Here is a 22,351-nt window from a genome sequence, read left to right on the forward strand (position 1 = left end):
ATTTCCTAAAGTCATTTTCTCACAGCCTCAAGTCATCTCATTATTGTTCTTATCATTCTGTAAACTGTTCTTCATTATCTATTGATGTCACCTTCAGTATTATCTAGAAAACACTTTTAAAAAATCTCTTTACTAAATCTCTGATCTCCCGGAAGAGAAGGAAATGTAATTTTCTTTTGTATGTGCTGGTTGGTAAGAAAGATTGCTAGTCAACGTGATTTCAAAGCTCATTGAAATCATCATTTTAACTAGATAAGGCATACTAAAGAAAGCTGTTGTATGAGGACTAAAAATTTGAAGGAAAATTATGTTAAATTGGGTCATATTCAATTGGCTTTATTATCCAGTCTCTTTCCCTTCCTAAAAATCAGTTTCTATTGTAATGATTAGAAGGCTTATCAAAATATATAGGGTGGTGGTGAGTTCCATCCGTAGATGAGGAACAACAAGTTTTCCTTGTTCTGAGGGATCAACAAATAATCAGTTCAACTGCGGGAACATCACTGGCCATCCAGAGATCTAAATGATGAACACAGCTCTATAATTAAGTAACTTCGATATAGGCTAGCTTTTCCTATCTTATTTTCAGAAATTTCTGATCACATTGAAGACTTTTACTGTAGCCTTAGAGTGTCTGAGAAATGTAGACAAGGTTCAATGCTAAAAGCTACATTTAAAGGGAATGAATGAAAGGAATGAATGCTACTATATTAAGTAACAGCAACTGAACTAAAAGGTTGTAGTTTTCATGGAGAAGTCAGTACAATTAAACATGCAATACCACAGAGATAGCCTTCATCAGAGCCATCAGGACAATCCTTTTTCCCATTGCAGAGTTTCTCTGGCTGCAGGCAGACTGAGGTGTCATTAGCACAAGGATGCTTGGGTGGTCCACACAAGAAACTGTCACAGTCATCTTCATCTGACTGATCTTCGCAATCAATATCTCCATCACACACCCATGCTTTGTTGATGCATCTCCCTTAAGAAAACAGAAATAGTGTCAGTTTGATTTTTGTGATTAGGTCATTATGATAATGAGTGGCCATTATTGTCTTCAGTCACAGGCAGAATTACTTGTCTTTAGCAAAAGAAAACAAAATCTATTTGCTTATTATTTGACAGTTTATTTTCATGACAGCATTTGAATATTTCTTGCCCTGGTCTTAAAGTGCTCTTATTGTTTGAGCTTTGATATTTTCTTTAGATTCAAGTCATTGCTCTGCTCTCTCTCTCTCTATATATATATACATATATTTATATTTATATAATATATATATATATATATATATATATAAAAAGAAGGTTTCTGTGACTAATTGAAAGTTTAATTGCAAAACTGTTAAAAGCAAACTTTAAAGATACATTTGTATATTAGTGCCTTTTAGATCCCTAAATTTAGGTGAATGCTATCGGTGCCTGTCAGAAACTCAAATTCAGGTAAATGCCTCATTTTAGCAAGAGAGGTTGTCCTTCTATTTACATTTATAACATCAACACCCCAACTCCCCACTCCAGACATATGTACATGCCCTTTCATAAGAGAATATCAAATGATATCAAACATTTTGGCGACTAACATGTATAGACGGAATTTATAGAATTTTTTTATTGTTTCTAGAAGAAAAAAATAATTATTGTTTAGCCAGCATGATTCAACAGTAACAGTGAGAAACACAAAGAGATCAATGTTCATTGTTATTTTTGTTTTGTTTTGTTTTGTGATGGAGTTGCACTCTTGTTGCCCAGGCTGGAGTGCAATGGTGCAATCTCCATTCACTACAACCTCCGCCTCCCAGGTTCAAGCAATTCTCCTGCCTCAGCCTCCCAAGTAACTGGGATTACAGGCATGTGCCACTATGCCCAGCTAATTTTGTATTTTTAGTAGAGATGGGGTTTCACCATGTTGGTCAGGCTGGTCTCAAACTCTTGACCTCAGGTGATCCACTGCCTCAACCTCCCAAAGTACTGGGATTACAGGCATGAGCCACCATGACTGGCATTGTCGTCTATGTAAATGTTTCACTGCAAATTATTCCTCCTTTCGAAACAGTCTTTCACTGACTTCTTATTAATTATCTTTTCCAGATTATGCAATGTTCAGGTGTAATATACATTTTTTAAATGTACCTAAAGATAATACTAGTTATTGACTGACTACATACCAGCATCTTATAAAAATAAGTGGGGCAAATACAAGGGAAATGGAAAATATTACATTGTATATATCCAAAAGTCATTAGGTATTTAAATGTCTTCTTAAGTCTTATAAGTAAATTTTAAAATAATTAAAATATAGGTGCAAAAATGTTTTATTTATAAAAATATATCAATAATTCTTCACACTATTATGTCAAATAAAATATAATCAGTTCCATAGTTAACTAAAATACATTTGATATTCAACATTGATAAAAATACTCTTAAAATAAGAATTGACATACTTCATTAGATTTGATATAAATAGAGAAACATTATAAACTTTTGCATTAACATCATAAATAAAACCAATAATGTTGTTCTGTAAATACTACCTAGGACAATTAGGTAATAGAAAGAAATGAGGTATAATATTAGAAATGAGGAATAACATTAGAAAAGAGTGTCATTACACGTTGTTAATATAATCATATAATTATAAAATCAATTAAAATTACATAAACTAAGAATTCAAAAAATAGGTAGCTAGTTTCAAAATTAACAGAAAAACAGATTTCATATCTATAGAGAGCATATACTAGAAGAAAAGGCCAATTAAAATTTTATCATAAAAAATGTATTTTGGGTTAAAATGTACAAGAACTATACAACACTTATACAAATCCAAAATTCTACAAAAAATCTGAAAAAAAGCCTTGAATATAGATATTATTTGGTCTTGGATTAGTACAGATAATAATTTTCTCTTAAACAATCCTTTCAAAATAGTAACATCAATGCAACCCTAAAAGCTTATTTTAAGTTAAAAAATAAAACCAGAAAAATCATTCAGAATCTTACCAAAACAAAAAACAAAACAGAGGAATCTTAATGAGTAGAAACTGTATATATTCCAACTATTTAGAAGTAATTTAATGTAATAGTAGTTAAAATACTTTTTATAAATATCAATAAAGATATTAATAATTAAAGAGCACAGAGACATTAGGAATAGGTCTATTTATGTATATGGATTTTATATATGAAACAGTTGGCAATCTAAATAGCAGAGAACAAAATTAATGATGCAGTATCACCTCATTTGCCAATCTGGAGGATAAACAATAAAGCTGAATCTCTACTTGGCTTCTTATGCTATAATATATTCCAGACATATCAAAGAGGTAATCATTTTAAAATAAGGATGATAAAAATACAAACATGAAGCTGAATTTTATAAACATATTTTATTCCATATTGCAACAATAAACTCCATAGACAAAGTCACTGGACAGTCAATAAGCCAGAAAAAAACATTTAATCATATTTTCAAAAATATTTCATTATATGACAAAAAGCATATTTTTAAAAAATACAAGGGTTCTTTTAAATCAATAAGATAACAATCAATCCAAGTGCAAGATTCATAAAGAAATTGTAATGGTTCAGAAACATAAGATATTCAATATCCCTTTCAATTAAAAAAGGTAAACTAAAATAACTAGTTGACATCCTTCCTACTCTATTAGATAAAGATCAAAAAGTTGGATAGTACAAAACTAGATTTGACAATAATGTAAGAAACAGCACAAATGTTGAAAATTGTGATAACCTCTCTCTAGGGCAATGTCAAGAAATCCAGCAAATGAAACATGTGTCAACTCTTCACCACAGTAATTCTAATTTTAGAAAATGTTTTCATAAATATCTTTGCACAAGTGCACAAAGATACTAGGATATCTACTGCTGTTTTGTATATATTAGGGAAAGGAAAGTAACAATTTAAATAATTACTGCAAGCCTGGTGACATCAATTACAATGCATCCATACATTAAAGGTATATGCTTGAGTGAAGAAGAATGTGTCAATCTACATAAGTGAATGAAAACTAATTTTCAAGCTTAATTAATTTAAAAAAGGCATAGAACTCAGTGTATGTAGGCTTTTGATGTGTTGAAAGGGAGTTAGCTATTTATAAATATCTATGATTATATTTCCATACATTTATCAATATCAGTACATGGATAGACTTGTCTCTATTTGAATTCTTTCTGGAGGGATACACAAGAAATAGTTCAAATTGGTTGCCTCTGGAAAGAATTAGTTACTGGAAACCCATTGTAGGAGGAAGAGATACTTTTCATTGAATACTCTTGTGCTGCTTTATTTTTCTTCTACCGTATACTTCGGTAACTTTTCCAAAATATATTAGCTTATTTTAAAAAAATGATTATGTACACACATATGCAGTGAAGCCTAACAGATTCAACAGCCTTCTTGTAAAAAATTATATGTTGAATTTACTCTGTGCCTTACCCTTTCCTAAGGGCTTTCAGAAATATAAGCAAGCATAAAGCCTGATCCTTGTCACCAAGGGGCTTATAATCTAGTTAGAAAGAAAAGATCAATGCATAATATATCATTGTAGTCTAAAATATGACATTCTATACTTAAGCATTAAATTGTATGAAGTCATTTGCAAGAGTTCAAGAATATACAAATTCCCATTTTTAGTTTGGTTTATCAAAATGCAACTTCCTTTTTTTGTTTGTTTTTTCCCAGACACATCACCAATCCATGATGGCATTCCCAACCACTGACTCCAAAATGACCTTAGAATTGTTTCAACAGATATATCTATAAATCAATATCAATCTTTTAGAGTCAGAATAGCAGTAAGGCTATTTGCCATCCCTGACATAAATACTGCTTGGAAAAGGTAAACAAAAATAATATTCAGATGACTGTAAAACTTTAAAACAAATAATGTCACCAGAGATATGAATAAATATGAATACATAGATTAAATGAATTGTATAAGCTTAAATAGCCCCCCTCTTCCTATTGATTTTTTAGGGGCTGTTTGAAGCTTAATTGCTTCTCTCTATTTGTGTTTGGTTTTAGTTCTTACCAAAATGTAGATAAGAAGGCGAACCAAGTATGATAAGTTTAATGAATGTCTAACTCATGCACATGAATTAGGTAAAACCCAAAAGCAAATGGCCTCAGTAAAAATACTTTAAACATATTGATTTTTACTTGATTCATATCAAGATAAATCCTCACCTAATCAAGTACCTAATCAAGTCATTGGACATAAAATCTTGAATGAACAAATATCACAGATTTCTTTGCTTAAACTCCCTTCTTTATATATAAGAAATAAGTAGTTATTAATAATAGTAAAACATATTATAGACATTATAACTATCCAATAGATAGAATATCCAAAAATCTTTAAAATAAAGTTTTTTAAATGTGCATGAGTAATTCAAGTAACCAAGTAAATCATTTTGTGTTTACTAATTCTTTTTTAGAAGATGCCGAAAACCATATTAGATAATTAGTATGAAGTTGAGCTCTACAAAATATTTTCTCATTTATTTATAATGATGTTTTCAACTTGATAACTACATGTCAAAGACTCTATTTTGGTAACTGTGGTTTTGTCCTTTGAGAAAAGAAAATAAGAATAGATAAGTAACAACAATAACAGCAAATTTTTTAAAAAAAATCCCCAAAACCCAGAAATTTGGTTAAACACAACTACAAAGTCAACAGGTATAGAAAAACTTAAGTTTGTATGACTGTAGAAAACATGCTAGCTTCCCAAAATAAATTGATACAATCTCTTCTAGAGTTTCTCTTTTCTGTGTTAAACTCTTGACCATGTTCTGAAATAGATCTACCTTTTTGTAAACGGACTTGTTTTTAGTTTAATAAAAAGATAACAAATGTTGTAATGGGATAATTTCTGTTCTGGGATATGACTGGCAGTTTATATTAAGAATAATAATATTAATATGAAGTAAATCTTTGAGAAAGTCTAAATGGATTTACTTGAAACTATATTATTATAATGCCTTTTTGAACACTGGTCTATAATATTTTATAAAATGTTTATACTACTAACCTTTAGTGTTACCTACATATTTATTTCTCTAACAGTGTTTGGTTTCAATTCAATTTGACAAATGTTTTTTGAGTATTATATGCTTGGTTTTCTACTGAAGAGTGTAGAAAGATGGGGAAGACAAATTCCTGACCTTGTGGAGCAATAACTCTAGTAATGACAAATGTTCTAATATTGAACATATAAAGTAGAATAAGATGAAAGCCATATAACCATCAGAGAGTGCTATGGATTTTCAAGGAGGTGGAAAATATGTATGATTGGAAGGATGAGAAACAAGCTTTACCAAACTATTCTTTTGAACAGCGTTTTGAAGGATGGTAGAAAATTTTACGTAAGGAAAAAAGCATTTAATATAGACAGCTGCCTTATGCGTATAGTCTTAACATTCGAATATATACCCCATGTAAAATCAAAAAGCAAGTAAATGGAACAGGTGAAAGAAATAAAAATTTAATAGCATAGTGACTACTCTTGCTACTCAATAGGAATGTGTTAGGGCATAGATAGTAGAAGAGAATCAGTTCTTTCTTATGCTGATCTTTGTTCCATCTCTAAGTGAATTCATTATAAAATTCTAATTTTTATATTTGCTTTTTATTTTATGCTAAGCATTACCTTGTTTATAATAGAGTTATAGGTACAAATTATCCTGAGCTATATACATAGAACCATGTATATTAAGTTTAATGTGTGATTTTTGGGAGGTAATTTTGAACATAACGCAGTTTTACATGCTGAATATTCAACCTTATTTGTTTAATCGAATTCACACAAAAGATGAAACTGTTATCTAAAGGTATAAAAGCAGGAAAGAATGGGACCTGTTCAAAAAGCAATAATGAAGCAGTTTGGGGCCCCTAATTCAAGAAGCGTTTCTTAATCTGATTATGGTTAAGAAAATTGAGACACTTTTTGAATTAGCAATGGAGATTGTCTATAAGATTCAGCAAATTTGAACGACTGAAAGATTTTTTTAAAGTATGTGTTCAGGTCACATCTTGAGGTAAGAGGAAGCCAAAACTGTGGATAGAGTGGATTGAAGCTAATGACTGTCAGAGGAAAACACAGTTGGCCACACAAGGATCTGAGTGAGAGATAATGAAAGCTTAACCTTAGGTTATGAGATGTGAGTAGAGAATGGAATGGGTTATGTTGGAGATATTGCATAAGTAACCTCAGTAGGACTAGGACTTGGAAAATGATTTCAAGTTAGAAGTGTCAAAGGGTGCTTTCTGCTTTAAATCTGAGCATACAGGGGATTACATATTCTAACAGAAATGATATATTCTTACTCCTTTCTGACTTTGAAGAGAAAGTAGAATGTTCAGCAATGCATCGGGAAAAAATGGGTTGGAAGTGGGAAGTAAATGTCAGTGGCGGAAATTTTGGAGTCCTAGAGGTGATGGTTAAAACTGGGGACAGAATAGATTGCTATGAAGACTTTGCAGAAAGATGAGAAGGAGCAAAAAAATTAAGAGAAGAATATCTACAATGCTGGACACATATTACGTGCTCAACAATTATATTTTAAAATTAAATATGAGGGACAGGTAGAGGAAAATGGGCAAGGGAAAGTGAAATAAAAAGAGGACTCTAAATGCCATGTGGCTAAAGAGAACAATCCAATGTGAGAATTCATAAGAAAATATTAAAAGGAGAGGAAATGCAGCAGGGTTAAGTGTTGCAGAGAAAGAAGCCGAGGTGCAGTACTAGTAGTGAAAAGTGTCATTCATTAAGCTTCTACTGTGTTCTAGGCACTCTTTGTACATTCTACCAGTTATTACTATCATATCTATTCTACAGATCAGAAAGCGATAATGTAGAGAGGTTTAGTAACTTATCTGCACTCATGCAGTTACTGAATGGCAGAGTAGGACTCAAAACACAGAAGAGCATAAACTAAGAAATCTTTCCTGGTGACCATCGAAACAGCCATTTCCATCAAGGGAAGCCATTGGATGTTAGATTGCAAGGGGTGGAGGAATTAGTGAGACATAAGACATCGAGGTACTTATATAAGGTGATTTAATGAAATGAAGAAGGAAGACAGGGAAAAGGTAATAAAATCAAAGAAGTGTTTTTCAGGTTATTGGACTAAATATAGTTATATAGAGAAAGAAAAATTAGTGTGGAGAAAGAAATAGAAGACCAAACAAGAAAAGTGACTAAGCTCCCACAAGGATTAGGAGGCCACAGGATCAATATCTAAAGAAGGGTTTGGGGGCGCTGGCTCACACCTCTAATCCCAGCACTTTGGGAAGCCGAGGTGGGTGAATCACTTGAAGTAAGGAGTTCGAGAACAGCCTGGCCAACATGGTGAAAACGCATCTCTACTAAAAAGAAAAAAAAAAATTTAGTCAGGTGTGGTGATGCATGCCTATAATCCCAGCTACTCAGGAGGCTGAGGCAGATATTGCTTGAACCTGGGGGTTGGAGGTTGCAGTGAGCTGAGGTCGCACCACTGCACTCCTACCTGGGCAACAGAGCAAGACTTTGTCTCAAAAATAAATAAATAAATAAATAAATAAATAAATAAAATAAATCTAAAAAAGGGCCCTCCTGGACAAAAAGGAGAATTGTTTATTCTTCTTTATAGACAGGACTGAAGGGAAACAACTAGAGTAGGCATACAACAAAAGGTTTAAAACTGTCAGCTCACGAGGTCAGGAGATCGAGACCATCCTGGGGAACATGGTGAAACCCCGTCTCTACTGAAAATACAAAAAATTAGCCGGGTGAGGGGGCAGGCGCCTGTACTCCCAGCTACTTGGGAGGCTGAGGCAAGAGAATGGTGTGAACCCAGGAGACAGAGTTTGCAGTGAGCCGAGATCTCGCCACTGCACTCCAGCCCGGGTGACAGAGCGAGACTCTGTCTCAAGAAAAAAAACAAACAAAAAAAGTCACTGGGAGGAATCAAGGAAAAATATAGGAGGCTCATAAAAAGAAAAATGCAAAATATTTTATTAGCTTTCTGGCACATAAACAATGAACAGCTTGCCATATTATTTTCATCAGAAATAATCAGAAGTATTCCATAGGGCTGGTTCCAGAAAGAAAAAAAGGGATGTGTTCAGAAATATTTCATATATAACCCATCATATAATTCTAACAAAATCACTGTACCATTATAGGATATTTTTGGTTCTAATAATCCAGATTGGTTTTCCACAATGATTAAATTCATCATTTTATTCTGTATTCACTGATACAACAATAGGGGAAAGAAAACAAAACAATCCAAAAATAGACAAGAATAATGTTTTGCCATTCACAGAAGCCCATAGAGAATTTTCATTACATAGCAGATCAGAACAGAGTATGATGCCACTGTTAAAGTTAAATCCACATGTGTGCCAGTCAGTTCTCTATGCCAGTCAGTTCTGTTACATTCTTCTGCTAAAAGATCACTTGTCATTAACTAATAACACTACTCTGGAACTTGATTTCAAAATGTATGTTGCTTATTCCAATGGAATCTAGAGGGGAAGGTAGATGAGTCAGCACCAAACTATCACAACTCTTAGAAAGGTAGTCAAAGAAAGGTAGTCAATTAAAAAAGGACACAGTAAAAGTTGTGATACCTTCTCAGTCATTCTTCCTAGCCACTTTTCCCCATACTTAGAGACAAACAATGACAATAGTTTCTTGTGAATGAAAACAGAAATGTTTTTATTATAGAAAGAATATACTTTTATTTTCTTTTCACCACTTAAACAATATTACATGCTATGCCCACTCTTGCACTCCTGCACTTTTCACTCAACATGTAATCACAGAGAAGTGTACATGTCAGTGCATTATAATGACTTCCAAATCTGCAAGGCATTCTACTATACAGAAATATCATGTTTGCACCTAAGTGTCCTATTCTGGCCTATTTAGGTTGTTTGGGACCTTTAACTATTAAAAGCAATTTAATGGCAAATGAACATTTGAAAATATACTCAAAATAATATGTCATTAGGAAAATGCAAATTAAAACAATAATGAGATACAACTGTATACCTATCAGAATGATGAAAATCTGGAACAGTAACAACACTAAAGGTGTTCAAGGATATAGAGCAGCAGAAATTTTCATTCATCTCAAGTGAATGAATACAAAATGGTACAGCCACTTTGAAAGACAGTGCAGCCATTGCTTACAAATACTGAACATACTCTGACCCTACTATCCTGTAAATGGACTCCCTGGTCTTTACCCAAATGAATTGACAACTTATGTCCACCCAAAAGCCTGCATGTAGATATTTACAACAGCTTTATTCATAATTGCCAGAACTTGGAAACAACAAAGATGTCCTTCAGTGGGTAAACAGATTAAAAAATTGTGGCACAATGGAATATTATTCAAAGCTTAAAGATTTCAACTACCAACCCGTGAAAAGGCATGAAGGAAACTCAAATGCATATTACAAGGTGAAAGAAGTCAATATGGCAAGTCTACATATGATGTGATTTCAGTGACATGACACTCTGGAAAAGGCAAAACCATAGAGACAGTAAAAAGATCAGTAGCTTCCAGGAGCTAAGGGGGAGGGAAGAATAAACAGGCAGGGTACGAAAGATTTTTAGAGCAGTGAAATTATTCTCCTTGATACTATAATGATGGATACATGTCATCATATATTTGTCAAGACCCATAGAATATACAACATCTAAATAAAGTAAACCGTCATGTAAACCATAGACTTTGGATGAGAAAGATGTGTCACTATAGGTGCATTGATTATAACAAATGTACCACTTTGGTGCAGTATATTGACAGTAAAGAAAGCTGTGCATGTGAGGGCGGTGGGAGTATACAGGAAGTCTCTGTACTTTCTGCTTAATTTTGCTGTGAACCTAAAATTTGTCTAAAATATAAAGTCTATTTTTTTAGAAGTCATAAACATTTTGATATATATTACCCATTTTATTCAGTTCTAAATATTTAAATATATGTATGATTTCTTAGTTAATCCAGATTATTTTGAAGTATGATCCTAGTTTCCAAATACATTTTTAAAAATCATTCTGCTGTAGATTTCTATTTTGTGTGTGTGTGTGTGTGTGTGTGTGTGTGTGTAGAGAATGCTTTTTGTAAATTGCCAATTATTTGAAATACTTTTAAGACTTCTTTGGAACCTAACATATGGTCAAATTTGAAAGAGTTTTCTATAACTTTGGTGTACATGGAAGAGTATATATGTATTGGTTTAAGTTTATTAAACACATTTAATAAAGCTTTAAATAAATATCTTTGTACATCTCACTCCTCAAATGCATGAATATATCTGTGTGATAAATTCCTAGAGGTGGAATTGTGGGTAAAATTGGAGACACATTGTAAACATTGAAATATATTGCTTTCCATAGAGGTTCACCAATCTCCCTGAAAGCAAAGTGTCTGCTTCCTGTACTCTCACCAGCATGGGTATTACTGGGCTTGTTTATTATCAATCAACTGATGTCGAAAGAATGCAATCCCACTGTGGTTTTGAACCACATTTTTCTTATAGGTGTTATAGACCGAATGTTTGTGTCCAGACCAAATTCATGTTGAAATCCTAATCCCCAGTGTGATGGTATTGGGAGGTTTGGGAGGTAATCAGTTACGAGAGTAGAGTTGGCATATCATAAGAAGATTGCCATCTGCAAACCAGGAAGAGTGCCTCAGACACACACCAGGTTTCCCAGTTCTTGATCTTGGACTTCTCAGTCTCTAGAACTGTGAGAAATAAATGTTTGTTGTTTAAACAACCCAGTTTATGATAATTTGTTACAGCAGCCTGAACTAAGATAGTCTCATTTTCCACCTTTTCCTATTGCAACTATTCTGCTTGTCATATCTGTGCTGAATTCTTAGTCATTTTGGGAGTAATATTTTTTCTTTTTCTTTTCGAGGGTCTCAACATACTTATTGTAAACTTATTTTTCAGACATATAGCTTATTTTCATTTAGTCATGAATAATTTATTTTGTAATGACTGATTTTGATGAGAAAGTTTTCTTCACATATGTTAAAATTCTGGTTTGTAATCTCATCTTGGATCACAACCTTCATTTTCCTCTCTGACTTTATGAGTTTACTTGTGCCTATCTACAAGCATTGCTGCTTGGACTTTGGCCCACTCCATTATTTCCAGCAATCTTGGTTCAGAAATACAACTTATATTTTTTGTGTGAGATTCTATCCTAAAACAATATTGGATTTTATCAGATTCAATCTCCAAGCCAGACAGAAGTTCAGCTCAATTGCAGTGCCTGTGTCCTCCCATCTCTTTAGGCACATGACTTCATTCAAGTAACTACCACTGGCAGCAACTAGCAGTGATATGTATAGTTTTTCAACTCTCCTTTCAAAAGCAAATGGAATTTCTTTCCAGGTTCTGATTTCCAGTAATGCCTGCCTCCAGATCCCAGCTTCATGTGGGACAGCTTTATTTCTATTGACCCTAAGATCTGAGCACCCATTCATTTCTGCTAGCCTACATACCCAACTCAGTAAGGTACTCAGCTTTAGCTCAGCACACCACTTGATACTGTGCTATATTTCTGTTACTCAGAGATACATATTTTTTGTTCATCAGGCAGTATCTCCTTTATTTTATCCTGTTATATTTTATCATCACTTCTGTGTGTTGAGAAGTGAAAACAGAGAAGCAGAAACTTCAGAGTGTAAACTTGAAGTCTCACCTTCACATGAATTCCTTTTTTATTGTTTTAATGACATTAGAATACTTGCGTGAATACACAACCATTTATTACCATCCCTATTGATAAGCAATATATTGTTTCTAATTTTTTACTATTAAAAATAAAATGACTCATTGAATATATTTGTGCATATATAACCTTATACAATCCTACTTTTCTTTACACGAATTTCTACAAGTAGGACAGAAGGATTAAATTTACATTCCTACAAGTAGCTGGAGGGCCTATTTTCCCGGTACCTTGCGATCACTATGAAGAAAGGCATTTCTGAGTTTCTTTTCCACGACAGAGTGACTGAAAATTCACTTCCCTTTTCCCCACTTATAATACAACTGCTATTTGTTAGTCTGGAGTGTAAGAGAACAGATGCGGCACAATGCACTTCTTGGTCAAAAATAGGTCCTTTGAGATTAGAAGTTCTTAAGTCCTGACTGTTATATTGTACTTGAAGTTAGCTCTCATTCTCATATAATAGGAATTTAAAAACCTACTGTGCCTACGTTTTGAACACCAATAGATGACAATTTATGTATAAGAAAGCTATTCTAATTACCATATATAAATTAATTAGCCTGAAACTTTTCAATGTTCAGCTAACATTTTAAAAAACTTTGAAAATAATCATGAACTTTGGATTAAACATTGTGGGTAGTTTAAAGGTCTTATAGCTTGTAAAACTGAGAATTTAAAGTAAATGAAAAAATATCAAAAGGTTTGTAGATGAATACATATTTTAAATCATTGCTTATATTTGTGGTTCATTTTAATGACTGCAATGTTCATTGAAGTCTGTCATAAATGTGACTTTGTAATTGTGCAACTCTTCTGAAGTTGAATAAATTGTGGTTTACTATATCCAAAACACAGATCAGATTAGAAGCAGATGGATAAATTATTACCTTTCACTTTTTCCTTTTAAAGTGAAACATATGTTTTATCACAGATTTTTTTTACATTAATCTTTTGCTTACCTAAAAACTATTTGGTAGAAACATCGGATGTTTAATTAAAAGCATTATTAAATCGATAATCCAAATCTCAAGTCAACACATATAAAAGTGTTCCAGAAAATTCAGTTCTCTAAAGATAGCCAGCTTTCCTCATCATACTTCAGATTTATTTTGATGTTGAACCATATTCACAGGAAGTTGTTTTATAAGTGTTCATTGCAAAATATCAATACACATTTTAAAATAAATTACAAGCACTTAGAATATTCTGTTAAATTTACTTAATCGTACTATTTATTATTTACATGCTTTGTCTGCAAATTTTTTTTCTCAACTGAAAGTTCAAACTAGTTTTTATTAATACATAGCTTTGAGAATTTACATTACTGTGAATCTCCTTATAATTTATTTCTGTATAGAGAAATTGCAGCCTGGTTTTATGTTTCGCATCTCAATTTGCTTTAACAGCATATTCAAGTAATTGAAACTCAGGATTTTCCATATTGGTTTATATTTTGTTTTAACCAAGCTTTGCCAGTTTCTTTTTCATATATGTTTTAAAAACTGTTACCTGCTGTATTTTAAGTTAATACAATCAGGAAAATGCCAGAAGTTATATGGAGAAAATATACACAATATATGCTTTGAAGTATGTTAACTCGAGTCAAATAATTGGCTCTTTGGCATTAGAATTCCCCTATTAAATGAAATCTATTTATGCCATCAATAATTCATTCATTTTACAATAATTCGTCTGCTAATTTTCAATTAATACATGTTCCAAAAAGACCATTTCTAAACTTAAAATCACATTTTTCTAACAAATAACCCTAAAATTATGACTCTTTATGTAACAATTGAAGAGAGTCACATAATTGTGAAAAATATTGTTGGAAAAAAATGTTTTGGAAACACAATTTCCTTGCTAGGAAAAGGCTTCAGGAGTATGTATTTATCTATACCTATGTTAGCTTGCATTTATTTTTCTTTTTTCTTATTGGAATATTTAACTGTAACCAAGAGGCATGTTTAAGAAAAGAAAGACAGTGCTTTTTTATACCTTTAAATGTACATCAGCCCCCGTGGCTTTCACAGTGTTTTCTTACACCTTTTACAACTTCTTATTTGTACTTTTTGTTAGAATATGTAATTATAGGGAGCAAAAGAAATCACTAAGAGCTCATGATTAAGCAATTGAAAAACAATTTCACATCAAAGAGAGATTGCAGAGATGTTATCATGACATCTACAGAAAATTATTTCCATGGATTATTGGGAGGATGATACCAACCATTTCACAAATTAAACCACAATAGCTCATCGTAATCTACTTTTCTCTAAACTTCAACACATCATCTGGCATAAAGCGGGAAGAAAATAAGTTTATCATTTCAACTGGTACCCAGTATATGTAATAAAATATAGTAGAATATAAGACATTCTATTACTATAACTTTTCCATTTTGGTTTCCTATTTGTATACACACACACACACACGCACACACGCACACACACGCACACACACGAAACCAAAATGGAACAGTCATAGTAATAGGGTATATTTATATAACACAATAACAGCCCCAATGACCCTCAAATCAAAGCTTTAAATGGCAGTCAGCATCCTCCTCATAATAGAAATAAGCAATAGTACAGTAACATTTAGGAAATTAGTTGAAAATAAATACATATAATTCTATCTTTCTTTTCTAAGTCATCTTCATTTAAATTTTAGGGTGAGGCCTTATCTACGGAAAGAGAAATGCTGCCAGCTGGTTTGGCATGCTTATCTCTCTCGATTCTGAATTTCCAGATTCTGTATTCCAGATTGCCTGGTTTAAAAATCCCAAATCTCAGAAATAAATAAACAAATAAATTAATTAATTAATTAAATTAAATCCTAAGTCTGACATGTTGGCTCTGTGAGCGTAAGCAAGTTAAAAACTTCTCCTTGCCTCATGAATCCAATGCGGAGAACATTCATAGAATTATGCTAGCCCCATTGATAGTTCTCCCTAAATGTTAACTACTATTATTATACATGAGCACATCTGCCAAAAATATAAGATTACTTTTTACAAAGGTGAGATACAGATTCAGCCTGAGCCAAAAGGACTCCACACTCAGGGAGACCCAATAGAAGCCAAAAGCAATGTTCACTTACCTGTACTCCAACAGGAAAACTTGGTTTTGTGGTCACACAATCGTATGGTACCATTGCAACCTTTTTCATCACTACCATCTTCACAGTCTTTTTCTCCATCACAGCGCCACAAATCAGGAACGCAATTACCATCAGGGTGGCACTGAAATTCATTTCCGTTACAACCAGCAGGAGAATGAATCTCTTAATTTGAAATGAGGAAGAGAGAAGCAGAGGGGGGCAAGACAGGAGAGAAATTATGATTTTACTTGTTGGTAGTTTTTATTTCACATTTTTTTCTTTCTTCAGGCATTATTATAATGCTAGAGAGAATACATTTTTACTTTAGATGGTTAATAAGTATAAATATACTCTAGTATTTTCTAATTCATTTAAATAACATTAATAGTCCGATAAAATGATGTTTCTTGCCTCCCCTAAAATTTCTGAAAGTACTATGTACATTAGAAAAGAAGAAGTAAGATAATTTGCGGATATTCTGTTGTGGTTTGTACTCATGCCTAAAGGATGAAATCTTTAAAGGCTTTTCTCTAAGACACATAAATTAGGTTATACATTCTAATCTTAATGATAAGACCTTGACTTATTCTCTTATCTTTCTCTGGGTAATTTCTTTCAAATTATTAAGAAGCAAATAACCAAAAACTAGTAAGTACTTTCTAACAAAATCTTTGAAGAATAGCATTCAAAAATTTGAGAAATAGATACAAAAAAACAGGTAATAAATGTAACTTCTGGACAAAGGATTTCAATTCTAGAATCAGAATAGACACTTAAATATAAGAATTGAAATACTAGACATTCAAATTTATCAATTAATAATTCATAACAATGACCAGGTAACATTATTGCCCCAAATCTGATGATTAAAAATATAGGATAAATTCTGCAGGTAAACATAAATAAAAGTAAGAAAATATAAATGTTGGGATACAGATGTTTGGCAGTTTAACAATTGAATTACATGACTAATCTGCAGCTTATTAAAATTTGTTTTAAGATCTAATGAGATATATTAATCTGTATTTCCAAATATTACAGTAAATAGATATTTTAGTAGATATTTTTAGACCAAAGTTTTAATGTAACAAATTTATTGTGTATCTTGCATAGCTCTATCTAGCAATTAATGTATAAGCTACCTATAGCAGCAATTGATATATATAATTATGATTAATTTGAAGCAGGTTCAAGTGAATTTCTCATTATTTATTACACTGGTTTGGTAGATATCTATGGTTATAAATTAAGGTTAATCTAATGTCAAAGTTCCTAATAACAGTGATATCACCAAAGCAGTCACTTACTCTTTTGAGACCTCTATTTGTTCAGTGAGAATGCATCAACAGGGTTGATGTGAGAATTAAATTAGATATCTATAAAGGATTAATTCAACTACAAAGTTTTGTTGCTGTTATTTTCTATAATATAAATGGTTTAGTTCTTTATTTTTTCTTTATTTAAAGACGTTCAGCAATTATAATCTGTCAGGTGATACAATATTATAAAGATGTTCAAGATGGACTTGACCATACATCCTAAATATTGCTTGTGCAGTAATGCTGAACTAATAAATAACCAAGGAGAAACAACCCTGTGGAAGCAAGGGTAAAGAAGTTCCATTGGTCAAAAACATGAATTGTAATAGAAAACCACTAGGACTAATTTTCAAAAGTGACCACTGCTAAGAACACATGCAATAATAAAGCATTGAGTTTTGGCTTTCTTTAAATCCCCTCCAAAATCAAAAACTTTATTTTTCTAGTATTCTAGCTATCTAATTCATTCTCACTTTGAACATACCATCTTTATGGTTAGATAAAATACTTGGTTTGCACACACACAATCAATCACACACAATTAATAAAGATGGTAAAGTCTGTGCACAAGGGGGAGATATATATAAAATGTGATATAGCAATTTCCCACCATATTTATTTAGTGTCTGCAGAGTGCTCTATATAGAAATATATTCAATGATTCAAACAAATGTATTTAGAAAATATCTGGAAAAAGAAAACAAGAAATAGGAATGCAACAATAAAAAGAAAAATCAGTCAACAATATAGTATAACTATATCATATTTACATTGTATTAGGTATTATACATAATACAGAGATGATTTAAAGTATATTATGGGAGGATGTGCATAGGTTATATGCAAGCACTACATCATTTCATATAAGAAACTTGAGCATTCTTGAATTTTGATATCTTCAGGGTCCTGAAACCAATCCCCAGTGTATATGGAGGAATGACTGTATGACATAGCTACTACAGTTGTAAAGAATTATTTTGGGACTGGTTTCATAAACAAGATATTGTGAAGTCTTTAAGCCTAGGCTATAACTTGAAACTCCTACATTAGTTCAATATTCAGGAAGAAGAAAAGAGACAACTCAGATAGACCTCCAAGGCCCAATCAGCTCTGTGCATCACTCTATGGTGAAGAGCCCAGCTTCCATGCAGCAATGAAAGGGCTTTTTTTCTTCTTTCCTTCTACTTAACTTTCGTTGAAAACAAAACAAAACATACCTTGGCTCATCTGACTTTTATAGCCTGTAGTATGAGCTCAACCAATAACATTTAAAAATCGTATTTCAGGTAATTGTCAGAGATTTCAAATATTTAATAAAGAATGGAAGGTGTAATCTATTGATTTTTCCACATTCTCCAAAATAAGAATCAAAGACTGGCAGCTCATATATTGAAACTGTTCCTCAGTATGTTTGACGAACACACTATTGGTCTTTTAAAAATCTGAGAATTTCCAATAAAAACCTAGATTCTCTAGTACTTTGAAAATTAGGGAGCGTCTTGGGCTGGCATCCTTGCAAAGTTGACAGCTACTACCTGCTTTATATGGGGCCAAACTCAATTACATTAGCACCTTCCTTTTATAAAGATCAAAGCAGAATCTTTGAGGAGAGAGAGTATACTGTTATTGTCTAAGGTTTTTTCCATTTGCTTTGTTTGCTATTGTTTATTTATTTGTGTTTCATAAGTGAATCCACTCATTTGTTTTCTTATTCTAAATAAATATTTACCTTATAAATTTAAATACAAATGTTATATTTACCTGGAGATTTTCTTTTTTTTTTTTTTTTTCTTCTTAAGCTACCCATGTCTGAACCTCTGTATGCTGGCATAACATCTACTAAGGGTCACCATAAACAACTGCATTATAATAACATAAAACAAGAGTATAGTCCGAAGAAGAAAATATAATATTGTGAACTTTCAAACCTAAAGAGGATAACGATTCTCTAATAATGCACATACACATCATTAATGTGTAACTCCTTGTCTTGGTTATATATTCTCCCCAGCCTGGATTGCCCTCTTGTCTTCAGAATGTCACCTATTAATGTCCATGATTTTTGCTGTTGTTTTTGAGACAGGGTCTTGCTCTGTCACCCAGGCTGTAGTACAGTGGTACAATCATGGCTCATTGCAGCCTCAACCTCCTGGACTCATACAGTTCTCCCACCTCAGCCTCTCAAGTAGCTGGGACCACAGGTGTGTGCCACTGCACCCAGCTAATTAAAAAAAAAATCTGTACATACAGGGTCTTACTTTGTTGCCTAGACTGGTCTTGAACTCCTGGCCTCAAGAGATTCTCCCGCCTCAGTCTCCCAAAGTTCTGGGATTCCAGGCATGAGCCTTTGCACCCAGCTAATGTCCATGATTTTTAGGACTCATTTGACTTTAAAAAAATACCTAGGATTGGGTCTATATATTCGGGAACTTCATGAGTAGATTTTAGGGGATTTATAAAAGCTCAGAAATTATACATGATGCTTTTTATTGATGTGCGTTTTTTTCCCTGTGTCAGAAAGTTAGAGGTTTTCTTGACTCTCAAGGTGGTCTTCAAGAGGAATGCCAAGACCTCACATTTCTCTGAGTGTTTCTTTATCTCCCATCCTGTGTAACTTGCATTGATATGGTAGCTTAGATGGCACTCCATTTTGCTTATGCTTTATATTCATTACATCAGATTGAACCCAGTGGAAAAAGGAACAACCATCAGCTCCTTTTGATTAAAAAATAAATAAATAGGTCAGGCGCAGTGGCTCACACCTGTACTTCCAGCACTTTGGGAGGCCAAGGCAGGCAGATCACCTGAAGTCAGAGTTCGAGACCAGCCTGGCTAACATGGTGAAGCCCCATCTCTACTAAATATACAAAAATTAGCTAGGTGTGGTGGCTCATGCCTGTGATCCCAGCTACTTGGGAGGCTGAGGCACGAGAATCACTTGAACCCAGGAGGCAGAGATTGCAATGAGCCAAGATGGTGCTACTGCACTCCAGCCTGGGGGACAGAGGGAGACTCTGTCTCACACAAATAAATGGAATTTGCCTATTGAAAGCATCTCATGTTACAGAAATGATTAATTTTCCTGCAGTTACGCACATGATAAGTAGCAGAGATGAGATTCAAACCCACATAATTAAACTTTGGAGTCTGCTCAGTTTTATGATTGTACCATTTTTAACTTCTTGTATGGTTTTTCTCATATAAAAACTCAAGAAGAAAAATAGAATTCATTCATATAATAATCAAAAAGCATTTATAAAGTCATTAATTTTTATATTTAAATCATTGCTGTTCAGCCTGTTTGTTTTCTAATAAAATTTATCATTTATTTTATGCTATTATAAGATCATGATAAAATTTGTTCTTTTATGAAAAGTTCAATACATTACCAGTTGTGTGAGGCAGATTAGTATTACGAGGAAGGCTTTTTTTTTTTTTTTTTGAGATGGAATCTCACTTGTTGTCCAGGCTGGAGTGCAATAGTGCAATCTTGGCTCACTGCAACCTCTGCCTCCCGGGTTCAAGTGATTCTCCTGTCTCAGCCTCCCCAGAAGCTGGGACTACAGGCACCCGCCATCATGCCCGGCTATTCATTTATTTTTATTTTTATTTTTTATTTTATTTATTTATTTTTTGTATTTTTGTAGAGGCGAGGTTTCACCATGTTGTCCAGGCAGGTCTCGAACTCCTGACCTCAGTTGATCTGCCCACCTTGGCCTCTCAAAGTTCTGGGATTACAGGCAAGAGTCACTGTGCCCAGTCAGCAGGCATTTTTTAGGCACTGGGCTAGAGCAAGGAATAAGACAGAGACTTATTCTCAGAGTCTAGAGTGTTCACCATTACACCATGGAACCATGTGTTCAGAGACTTATTCTCATAAAACTTGAACATGAGCAGAGAAGGGAGCATATAGGCTTTCAATAAATAATTATACAAGAAATCAACTAAATTAGTTAAGAAAGTCATAAGTGCTGTGAAGAAAACGGATCAGAGTAATATTATAGATAGTATAACAGATAATAACAGACTGGTTATGCTGTGATAACAGACCAATACAAAATCGCTGCATCTTACACACATATACAACTTAATTATGGCTCATTTTACATATCTATTGTGGATCAGTAGGTGGGCTATCCCTGTGGTGGTCATTCAAAGACCCAAGCTGATGAATAAGAGACCAACTTGAATGTTTGCAGTTGGCAGGCGAGAGGGAAATGAGGGTTCTGGATGGCCTCATATCTGATGCAAAAGGAAGATACATCATTTCTGATCACAATTCATTGACCAAACCTCATCATATAGCATAGGGCCCCATCTTATTGGTCCCAGTCAACCACAAATGTCCCAGGAAGTACAACCTTACCATGGGCCCAGAAAAGAGAATAACTAGAAATACATTGTCAATATCATTGATGACTGCCATCAGGAATGACTTGGTTATAGGAAAAATATTAAAAAGGGTGATTACAGAAGGTGACACTTGAGTGAGACCAAAATGACGAGAAAGAGCTAGCCATGAAGATGTTAGGACAAAGAACACACAGAAGGAATAGCAATTGCAAAGACCTAAAAGCAGGAAAGAGCTTAATTTTTACAGAAAAAGAAAAATATATATAATGGTAGTGAGTGAGTAAAAGGAGACCTGAGAGGTAGGTAGGGGTGACTCTTGTAGAGATTTATCAAAAATTGTGCTAAGATAAGATAAGCACAATAGGTATCTATTAGAGATTTTGAAGCAGAGAAGTGACGGTGATATAATTTAATTTACATTGCTTAAAGTTTTTGCGAGCTGTTGTGTGAAAACGGATTTTACAAGACTTGAGTAGAAGTAGAAAAAACAGATAAATGGGTTTCAGTGGAGTCCAGATGCAAAATGGGAGGCATATTTTTTGCATTTGAAAAGATTTCAGAATAGTGATTATTCAAATAAGTAGGCTATGTAGGCAGTTACAAACAATGTCTTAAATGCTCTGATAAGAGAGAATGCCAGGAGAACACACAGAGTGGAAGACTGTCCTGGACTTGGGGATTTCATACTAGGCATTTCTATGACAGAAAATTAATCAGAGTGTTCTGGGTCAGAATTAAGAGTCAGGCAGAGGAAAAAATTAAATGGAACAAAAGATTTTCTGCACAAAGCCAGCAGTATTAATAAAATTT

At 33.3% G+C, this 22,351-nt stretch overlaps 1 protein-coding gene across 3 annotated transcripts in view, besides 1 other annotated feature; it reads right to left on the bottom strand.

The window, feature by feature from the left end:
• Positions 1-22,351, bottom strand: part of LRP1B (LDL receptor related protein 1B) — a 1,899,594-nt gene that overhangs the window by 675,673 nt on the left and 1,201,570 nt on the right. For all 3 annotated transcript variants that reach the window (NM_018557.3, XM_017004341.2, XM_047444771.1), the window contains exons 21-22: positions 15,870-16,052; positions 782-982 (exon numbers count right to left, since the gene is read on the bottom strand). In NM_018557.3, coding sequence (NP_061027.2) covers positions 782-982; positions 15,870-16,052 — 384 coding nt within the window. The remainder of the gene's footprint in view (positions 1-781; positions 983-15,869; positions 16,053-22,351) is intronic.
• Positions 21,131-21,632: an enhancer, noted in NCBI's record as "NANOG hESC enhancer chr2:141685795-141686296 (GRCh37/hg19 assembly coordinates)". NCBI's record gives its function as "activates a minimal SCP1, AML or CMV promoter by ChIP-STARR-seq in primed H9 embryonic stem cells {active_cell/tissue: H9 hESC(primed)}" and the evidence as "EXISTENCE:reporter gene assay evidence [ECO:0000049][PMID:30033119]".

Source organism: Homo sapiens, chromosome 2 (assembly GCF_000001405.40).
Source record: "Homo sapiens chromosome 2, GRCh38.p14 Primary Assembly".
Classification (NCBI taxonomy): Eukaryota; Metazoa; Chordata; class Mammalia; order Primates; family Hominidae; genus Homo; species Homo sapiens.